This window comes from Homo sapiens, chromosome Y (genome assembly GCF_000001405.40).
Source record: "Homo sapiens chromosome Y, GRCh38.p14 Primary Assembly".
Classification (NCBI taxonomy): domain Eukaryota; kingdom Metazoa; phylum Chordata; class Mammalia; order Primates; family Hominidae; genus Homo; species Homo sapiens.
Genome location: NC_000024.10, coordinates 264971 through 275293, shown reverse-complemented (window position 1 = coordinate 275293; position 10323 = coordinate 264971). Strand labels below are relative to the sequence as shown.

Sequence of the window (10323 nt, the reverse complement as noted above, 5' to 3'; positions counted from 1 at the left end):
CTCAGGCCCCGTCACCTCCCCACACTCCGCCCTCCCCCCTGCTCCTCCTCCCCCTCCTCCTTCCTCCCCCTGCTCCTTCTCCATCCTCTCCCTCCTTCTTCCTGTCCATTGAGACTCCCCCTCTCTGCCCAAAGCCCCCTGTGGCTTCCTCTTGGCCCATCTGTTTCCTCCCTCCCCCTCCTCCCTCCTCCTCCTCCCTCCTCCCTTCACTGAGGCCCTGCGGGGACACCAGCCTCCTGGTTCCCGCCTCCTTCCACAGCCCTGGGAGAGTCTATAAAATGACCTGTGCCCTGGTGTGGCACGGGAGCAGGAAGCGGCTTCCACGCCTCCTCCCACAGTCACAGGGCCCGGCCCTTCCTCCCGCTGTGCCCCAGAGTCATGAGGACCAGAGGTCACAGGGCCCGGCCCTTCCTCTGTGTCCTGGTGTGATGTGGACTGTGGTCACAGGGCCCGGCCCTTCCTCTGTGTCCTGGTGTGATGTGGACTGTGGTCACAGGGCCCGGCCCTTCCTCCGTGTCCTGGTGTGATGTGGACTGTGGTCATGAGGCCCGGCCCTTCCTCTGTGTCCTGGTGTGATGTGGACTGTGGTCACAGGGCCCGGCCCTTCCTCTGTGTCCTGGTGTGATGTGGACTGTGGTCACGGGGCCCGGCCCTTCCTCTGTGTCCTGGTGTGATGTGGACTGTGGTCATGAGGCCTGGCCCTTCCTCTGTGTCCTGGTGTGATGTGGACTGTGGTCACAGGGCCCGGCCCTTCCTCTGTGTCCTGGTGTGATGTGGACTGTGGTCACAGGGCCCGGCCCTTCCTCCGTGTCCTGGTGTGATGTGGACTGTGGTCATGAGGCCCGGCCCTTCCTCTGTGTCCTGGTGTGATGTGGACTGTGGTCACAGGGCCCGGCCCTTCCTCCGTGTCCTGGTGTGATGTGGACTGTGGTCACAGGGCCCGGCCCTTCCTCTGTGTCCTGGTGTGATGTGGACTGTGGTCATGAGGCCTGGCCCTTCCTCTGTGTCCTGGTGTGATGTGGACTGTGGTCACGGGGCCCGGCCCTTCCTCTGTGTCCTGGTGTGATGTGGACTGTGGTCACGGGGCCCGGCCCTTCCTCTGTGTCCTGGTGTGATGTGGACTGTGGTCACGGGGCCCGGCCCTTCCTCTGTGTCCTGGTGTGATGTGGACTGTGGTCACGGGGCCCGGCCCTTCCTCTGTGTCCTGGTGTGATCTGGACTGTGGTCACGGGGCCCGGCCCTTCCTCTGTGTCCTGGTGTGATCTGGACTGTGGTCACGAGGCCCGGCCCTTCCTCTGTGTCCTGGTGTGATGTGGACTGTGGTCACAGGGCCCGGCCCTTCCTCTGTGTCCTGGTGTGATCTGGACTGTGGTCACAGGGCCCGGCCCTTCCTCTGTGTCCTGGTGTGATCTGGACTGTGGTCATGAGGCCTGGCCCTTCCTCCGTGTCCTGGTGTGATGTGGACTGTGGTCACAGGGCCCGGCCCTTCCTCTGTGTCCTGGTGTGATGTGGACTGTGGTCACAGGGCCCGGCCCTTCCTCCCGCTGTGCCCCAGAGTCATGAGGACCAGAGGTCACAGGGCCCGGCCCTTCCTCTGTGTCCTGGTGTGATGTGGACTGTGGTCACAGGGCCCGGCCCTTCCTCTGTGTCCTGGTGTGATGTGGACTGTGGTCACAGGGCCCGGCCCTTCCTCTGTGTCCTGGTGTGATGTGGACTGTGGTCACGGGGCCCGGCCCTTCCTCTGTGTCCTGGTGTGATGTGGACTGTGGTCACGGGGCCCGGCCCTTCCTCTGTGTCCTGGTGTGATGTGGACTGTGGTCACGGGGCCCGGCCCTTCCTCTGTGTCCTGGTGTGATCTGGACTGTGGTCACGGGGCCCGGCCCTTCCTCTGTGTCCTGGTGTGATCTGGACTGTGGTCACGAGGCCCGGCCCTTCCTCTGTGTCCTGGTGTGATGTGGACTGTGGTCACAGGGCCCGGCCCTTCCTCTGTGTCCTGGTGTGATGTGGACTGTGGTCACGGGGCCCGGCCCTTCCTCTGTGTCCTGGTGTGATGTGGACTGTGGTCACGGGGCCCGGCCCTTCCTCTGTGTCCTGGTGTGATGTGGACTGTGGTCATGGGGCCCGGCCCTTCCTCTGTGTCCTGGTGTGATGTGGACTGTGGTCATGAGGCCCGGCCCTTCCTCTGTGTCCTGGTGTGATGTGGACTGTGGTCACAGGGCCTGGCCCTTCCTCTGTGTCCTGGTGTGATGTGGACTGTGGTCATGAGGCCTGGCCCTTCCTCCGTGTCCTGGTGTGATGTGGACTGTGGTCACAGGGCCTGGCCCTTCCTCTGTGTCCTGGTGTGATGTGGACTGTGGTCACAGGGCCCGGCCCTTCCTCTGTCCTGGTGTGATGTGGACTGTGGTCACAGGGCCCGGCCCTTCCTCTGTGTCCTGGTGTGATGTGGACTGTGGTCACAGGGCCCGGCCCTTCCTCTGTGTCCTGGTGTGATGTGGACTGTGGTCATGAGGCCTGGCCCTTCCTCTGTGTCCTGGTGTGATGTGGACTGTGGTCACAGGGCCCGGCCCTTCCTCTGTGTCCTGGTGTGATGTGGACTGTGGTCACAGGGCCCGGCCCTTCCTCTGTGTCCTGGTGTGATGTGGACTGTGGTCATGAGGCCTGGCCCTTCCTCTGTGTCCTGGTGTGATGTGGACTGTGGTCATGAGGCCTGGCCCTTCCTCTGTGTCCTGGTGTGATGTGGACTGTGGTCACAGGGCCCGGCCCTTCCTCTGTGTCCTGGTGTGATGTGGACTGTGGTCACAGGGCCCGGCCCTTCCTCTGTGTCCTGGTGTGATCTGGACTGTGGTCATGAGGCCCGGCCCTTCCTCTGTGTCCTGGTGTGATGTGGACTGTGGTCACAGGGCCCGGCCCTTCCTCTGTGTCCTGGTGTGATGTGGACTGTGGTCACGGGGCCCGGCCCTTCCTCTGTGTCCTGGTGTGATGTGGACTGTGGTCACGGGGCCCGGCCCTTCCTCCGTGTCCTGGTGTGATGTGGACTGTGGTCACAGGGCCCGGCCCTTCCTCCGTGTCCTGGTGTGATGTGGACTGTGGTCATGAGGCCCGGCCCTTCCTCTGTGTCCTGGTGTGATGTGGACTGTGGTCACAGGGCCTGGCCCTTCCTCTGTGTCCTGGTGTGATGTGGACTGTGGTCATGAGGCCCGGCCCTTCCTCTGTGTCCTGGTGTGATGTGGACTGTGGTCACAGGGCCCGGCCCTTCCTCTGTGTCCTGGTGTGATGTGGACTGTGGTCATGAGGCCCGGCCCTTCCTCTGTGTCCTGGTGTGATGTGGACTGTGGTCATGAGGCCCGGCCCTTCCTCTGTGTCCTGGTGTGATGTGGACTGTGGTCACAGGGCCCGGCCCTTCCTCCGTGTCCTGGTGTGATGTGGACTGTGGTCACAGGGCCCGGCCCTTCCTCTGTGTCCTGGTGTGATGTGGACTGTGGTCACAGGGCCCGGCCCTTCCTCCGTGTCCTGGTGTGATGTGGACTGTGGTCACAGGGCCCGGCCCTTCCTCTGTGTCCTGGTGTGATGTGGACTGTGGTCATGAGGCCCGGCCCTTCCTCTGTGTCCTGGTGTGATGTGGACTGTGGTCACAGGGCCCGGCCCTTCCTCTGTGTCCTGGTGTGATGTGGACTGTGGTCACAGGGCCCGGCCCTTCCTCTGTGTCCTGGTGTGATGTGGACTGTGGTCATGAGGCCCGGCCCTTCCTCTGTGTCCTGGTGTGATGTGGACTGTGGTCACAGGGCCCGGCCCTTCCTCTGTGTCCTGGTGTGATGTGGACTGTGGTCACAGGGCCCGGCCCTTCCTCTGTGTCCTGGTGTGATGTGGACTGTGGTCACAGGGCCCGGCCCTTCCTCTGTGTCCTGGTGTGATGTGGACTGTGGTCACAGGGCCTGGCCCTTCCTCCCGCTGTGCCCCAGGGTCATGAGGACCGGAGGTCACAGTGCCCGGCCCTTCCTCTGTCCTGGTGTGATGTGGACTGTGGTCTCGGGGCCCAGCCCTTCCTCCCTCTGTGTCCTGGGCGGCCAGGTGTGGGCTGGACACGAGGGGAGGACATCACGTGGGCTGAGGGACGTGTCGTCCGTGCCTCGGTGCTGCCTGTGTTCTGCGAGCCGAGGGTTGTGAAGGGTGCTTGAGTGAAGTGGGCCAAGTGTGAGCCCCTGTAAATGGCTGTGACTTCCCTGTTGACCGTGCCCTTGTGTCCGACAAGGGGTGTTTGCAAACCCCTCCCAAGGCCGGGCACGGAAGCCCTTGGTCCAGCTGCTTCCTGGAATGGAAAACCCTCTCCTGCACTAGAAAATCCCATGACCCCGCGTTTGAGTTTCGAATATTTAGCATGGGGAGCACCCCTCCAATGGCTAGGAGAGACACCAGGCGGAGATAAAGGTTTGACTATTTACCAGTCCTGCATCCACGGCCGGCCTGCAGGCCCCACCCAGGCGGAGGTAAGGATTTGATTATTTATGGATCCCGGGTGCTGCAGGCCCCACCCAGGCGGAGGTAAGGATTTGATTATTTATGGGTCCCGGGTCCTGCAGGTCCCACGCAGGCGGAGGTAAGGATTTGATTATTTATGGGTCCCGGGTGCTGCAGGCCCCGCCCAGGCGGAGGTAAGGATTTGATTATTTATGGGTCCCGGGTGCTGCAGGCCCCACCCAGGCGGAGGTAAGGATTTGATTATTTATGGGTCCCGGGTGCTGCAGGCCCCACCCAGGCGGAGGTAAGGATTTGATTATTTATGGGTCCCGGGTGCTGCAGGCCCCGCCCAGGCGGAGGTAAGGGTTTGATTATTTATGGGTCCCGGGTGCTGCAGGTCCCACGCAGGCGGAGGTAAGGATTTGATTATTTATGGGTCCCGGGTGCTGCAGGCCCCACCCAGGCGGAGGTAAGGATTTGATTATTTATGGGTCCCGGGTGCTGCAGGTCCCACGCAGGCGGAGGTAAGGATTTGATTATTTATGGGTCCCGGGTGCTGCAGGCCCCACCCAGGCGGAGGTAAGGATTTGATTATTTATGGGTCCCGGGTGCTGCAGGCCCCGCCCAGGCGGAGGTAAGGATTTGATTATTTATGGGTCCCGGGCGCTGCAGGCCCCACCCAGGCGGAGGTAAGGATTTGATTATTTATGGATCCCGGGTGCTGCAGGCCCCACCCAGGCGGAGGTAAGGATTTGATTATTTATGGGTCCCGGGTCCTGCAGGCCCCGCCCAGGCGGAGGTAAGGATTTGATTATTTATGGGTCCCGGGCGCTGCAGGCCCCACCCAGGCGGAGGTAAGGATTTGATTATTTATGGGTCCCGGGTCCTGCAGGCCCCGCCCAGGCGGAGGTAAGGATTTGATTATTTATGGGTCCCGGGTGCTGCAGGCCCCACCCAGGCGGAGGTAAGGATTTGATTATTTATGGGTCCCGGGTCCTGCAGGCCCCACCCAGGCGGAGGTAAGGATTTGATTATTTATGGGTCCCGGGTCCTGCAGGCCCCACCCAGGCGGAGCTAAGGATTTGATTATTTATGGGTCCCGGGCCCTGCAGGCCCCGCCCAGGCGGAGGTAAGGATTTGATTATTTATGGGTCCCGGGTCCTGCAGGCCCCACCCAGGCGGAGGTAAGGATTTGATTATTTATGGGTCCCGGGCGCTGCAGGCCCCACCCAGGCGGAGGTAAGGATTTGATTATTTATGGGTCCCGGGTGCTGCAGTCCCCGCCCAGGCGGAGGTAAGGATTTGATTATTTATGGGTCCCGGGTGCTGCAGGCCCCACCCAGGCGGAGGTAAGGATTTGATTATTTATGGGTCCCGGGTCCTGCAGGCCCCACCCAGGCGGAGGTAAGGATTTGATTATTTATGGGTCCCGGGTCCTGCAGGCCCCGCCCAGGCGGAGGTAAGGATTTGATTATTTATGGGTCCCGGGTCCTGCAGGCCCCGCCCAGGCGGAGGTAAGGATTTGATTATTTATGGATCCCGGGTCCTGCAGGCCCCGCCCAGGCGGAGGTAAGGATTTGATTATTTATGGGTCCCGGGTGCTGCAGTCCCCACCCAGGCGGAGGTAAGGATTTGATTATTTATGGGTCCCGGGTCCTGCAGGCCCCGCCCAGGCGGAGGTAAGGATTTGATTATTTATGGGTCCCGGGTGCTGCAGGCCCCGCCCAGGCGGAGGTAAGGATTTGATTATTTATGGGTCCCGGGTCCTGCAGGCCCCGCCCAGGCGGAGGTAAGGATTTGATTATTTATGGGTCCCGGGTCCTGCAGGCCCCACCCAGGCGGAGGTAAGGATTTGATTATTTATGGATCCCGGGTGCTGCAGGCCCCACCCAGGCGGAGGTAAGGATTTGATTATTTATGGGTCCCGGGCGCTGCAGGCCCCACCCAGGCGGAGGTAAGGATTTGATTATTTATGGGTCCCGGGTCCTGCAGGCCCCACCCAGGCGGAGCTAAGGATTTGATTATTTATGGGTCCCGGGTCCTGCAGGTCCCACGCAGGCGGAGGTAAGGATTTGATTATTTATGGGTCCCGGGTCCTGCAGGCCCCGCCCAGGCGGAGGTAAGGATTTGATTATTTATGGGTCCCGGGTGCTGCAGGCCCCACCCAGGCGGAGGTAAGGATTTGATTATTTATGGGTCCCGGGTGCTGCAGGCCCCACCCAGGCGGAGGTAAGGATTTGATTATTTATGGGTCCCGGGTGCTGCAGGCCCCGCCCAGGCGGAGGTAAGGATTTGATTATTTATGGGTCCCGGGTGCTGCAGGCCCCGCCCAGGCGGAGGTAAGGATTTGATTATTTATGGGTCCCGGGTCCTGCAGGCCCCACCCAGGCGGAGGTAAGGATTTGATTATTTATGGGTCCCGGGTGCTGCAGGCCCCGCCCAGGCGGAGGTAAGGATTTGATTATTTATGGGTCCCGGGTCCTGCAGGCCCCGCCCAGGCGGAGGTAAGGATTTGATTATTTATGGGTCCCGGGTGCTGCAGGCCCCACCCAGGCGGAGGTAAGGATTTGATTATTTATGGGTCCCGGGTCCTGCAGGTCCCACCCAGGCGGAGGTAAGGATTTGATTATTTATGGGTCCCGGGCCCTGCAGGCCCCACCCACACTGGGTGGTGAGGAATGCAGCAGAGAGGGACCCTGGGCCAGCACCTTTATTGGGTCCAAGGTATTATCCCACCCTGTTTCCGGCTCGCAGTTGTCACGGGTGGTTGAGAGCCAGCAGGGAGGGTCTCTGAGAGGTGGCACCGTGCGGGCGTCGCCGGGAACAGAGGCACAAAGCTGGGAGCCCCGGACCCGGGTTTCAACAGCATGGGGCAGCCGCACGGCTCACGGGGCCTCAGGCCGGGCCGTGACGGGCTCAGAGCACACCTGCGTGAGCCGAGACCGGAGGCTACGTGATCTCATTCTGCAGGTGCGATTCCCGAAGCTGCTCTGTTCCGAGCTGCCTTGTTTAAAACCGTCGCCGGGCCGGGCGTGGTGGCTCACGCCTGTCATCCGAACACTCTGGGAGGCCCAGACGCGTGGATTGCCTGAGCTGAGCTCTGGAGTTCGAGACCAGCCTGGGCAACATGGTGAAATCCCGTCTCTACTAAAAAAAAAAAAAAAAAAAAAAATAGCCGGGCGAGGTGGCGGGTGCCTGTAATCCCAGCTACTCCAGAGGCTGAGGCAGAGAATCGCTTGAAAAGGGGAGGCGGAGGTTGCAGTGAGCCGAGATCGCGCCCCTGCACTCCAGCTTGGTCTCCGTCTCAAAAAATAAAAAATAAAAGTAAAGTCATCAATTCTGTTTTCCCCTGTCCTTGCCGAGAAGCAAAATGACATGAAAAGGATAGAGAATTGTGTCTCCGAAGCTGAGTCTTACCCCTTTACCAGAGAAAAGACACAACTTTGGGAGGCCAAGGCGGGCGGATGGCCAACATGATGAAACCTTGTCTCTACCAAAAAAAAAAAAATACAAAATTTAGCTGGGCCTGGTGGCACGCGTCTGTAATCCCATCTACCGGGAAGGCTGAGATAATCGCGGCTCACTGCAACCTCCATCTCCCGGGTTCAAGCGATTCTCCTGCCTCAGCCTCCCAAGTAGCTGGGATTACAGGCACCCGCCACCACGCCCGGCTAATTTAGTAGAGACAGGGTTTCATCATGTTGGCCAGGCTGGTCTCAAACTCCCGACCTCAGGCAATCCGCCCACCTTGGCCTCCCAAAGTGCTGGGATGACAGGCGTGAGCCACCGCACCCGGCCAGAGATACTGATTTTTATGAGCAACACGTATAGGCTTCCTAAATCACACCGCTGGAAAAAGTATTCTCCACGTCTGTAGCTCCTCTCTCTGCTGGTTTGGGGGTTCAGGAAGCAGGGCGCGATTTTGCATTATAAGTATCGACTAAAGAATGGTAAGGCTGGCTGGGTGCAGCGGCTCACGCCTGTCATCCCAGCAGTTTGGGAGGCTGAGGCAGGTGGATCCGTGAGGTCGGGAGTTCAAGACCAGCCTGGCCAACATGGTGAAACCCCGTCTCTACTAAAAATACAAAAATTAGCCAGCCATAGTGGTGAATGCCTGTAATCCCAGCTACTGGGGAGGCTGAGGCGGGAGAATTGCGTGAACCCAGGAGGCAGAGGTTGCAGTGAGTCGAGGTTGTGCCACTGCACTCCAGCCTGGGCTGCAATAGTGAAACTCCATCTCAAAAAAAAAAAAAAAAAAGGACAGGTGCGGTGCCTCACGCCTGTCATCTCAGCACTTTGGGAGGCTGAGGCGGGCAGATCACTTCAGGTCAGGAGTTCGAGACCAAAAATATAAAAAATTAGCCGGGTGTGGTGATGCTCACCTGTAATCCTAGCTCCTTGAGAGGCTGAGGCAGGAGAATCACTTGAACCCGGAAGGCGGAAGTTGGAGTGAGCCAAGATCTAGCCATGGCACTCCAGCGTGGGGGACAGAACCAGACTCTGTTTCAAAAAAACAAACAAACAAACAAAAAACAAAACAAAAAAAGAATGGTGAGGCTGCAAAGGACAGCTTTGTTTCTCATAAGGGGTTAGGCGCAGGGGAGCTATTCCTACAGCCTGGGAAGCAGAGTCAGAAGCCAGAAGCAGACACCTCCAGAGAGGGGCAGAAGGAACAGGAATCAGCCGGGCGCGATGGCTCACGCCTGTCATCCCAGCACTTTGGGAGGCCGAGGCAGGTGGATCACGAGGTCAGGAGATCGACACCATCCTGGCTAACACGGTGAAACCCCGTCTCTACTAAAAATACAAAAAATTAGCCGGGCGTGGTGGCGGGCGCCTGTAGTCCCAGCTACTCGGGAGGCTGAGGCAGGAGAATGGCGTGAACCCGGGAGGCGGAGCTTGCAGTGAGTGGAGATCGTGCCATTGCACTCCAGCCTGGGGGACAGCAATAGACTCCGTCTCCAAAAAGAAAAGAAAAGAAAAAAAGAAAGAAGAAAGAGAGAGAGAGAGAGAGGGAGGGAGGGAGGGAAGGAAAAGAAAGAGAAAGAAAAAAGTGCCCGTTTCCTCTGGCACAAGGGTGCCCGTGCCACAGCTGAGCTGGAGAAGGAAGTCAGGGATGAGGAGTGGAGTCAGGTATGCGGCCCTCTCACCCCTGATGCCAGGCGCACCTGCCCACCTGGTCCCATGCTAATCATTCATACTCCAAGTCCCCACGCTTAAAATTGTAACACAGCCCTAAATGTCCCAAAATGTCCTCTGATCACACACAGCAGGAGAATCACTCGACTTTGCATAGAGTTGTCAAAACACATACAAATATATGCTACCACACACCGGTATTGAACGTTAAAATCGATTACCATTTTCCACTGATCAAGTCAACAGAGATTGAAAAACCAGCACTTTTGGGAGAGGCCGAGGCAGGCAGATCGCTTGAGCCCAGGAGTTCCAGACGAGCCTGAGCAACATGGCAAGACCCTGTCTCTACAAAAAATATAAAAATTAGCTGGGCGTAGTGGTGTGCACTTGTAGGACCAGCTACAGAGACCTCTTCCCTCCTCCTGTAGTCCCAGCTACTCAGGAGGCTGAGGAGGGAGGATCACTTGAGTCTAGGAGGTCGAGGCTGCACTCCAGCCTGGGGGACACAGTGAAATCCTGTGTCTACCAAAAAAGGTGAAAAGAGAAACTTCTGTCTACAATATTGATGGTTCCTGAAGTTGCCTCCCAACATATTTTAAGTTCGGCCTAAAGATTTCTCTGTACATAGTGAACTGTGACGTAACAGGAGGTGTCAACAGACCAGAACCTACTCTTGTGGCAATCACTGAATCTCAGCCAAAGGCAGCCAAATGTTCCAACCGGGTTCAA

The 10323-nt window shown here is 58.9% G+C and overlaps 1 annotated feature.

Annotated features, from left to right (window-relative positions):
* Window positions 3793-4374: an enhancer, noted in NCBI's record as "H3K4me1 hESC enhancer chrX:187587-188168 (GRCh37/hg19 assembly coordinates)". NCBI's record gives its function as "activates a minimal SCP1, AML or CMV promoter by ChIP-STARR-seq in naive H9 embryonic stem cells {active_cell/tissue: H9 hESC(naive)}" and the evidence as "EXISTENCE:reporter gene assay evidence [ECO:0000049][PMID:30033119]".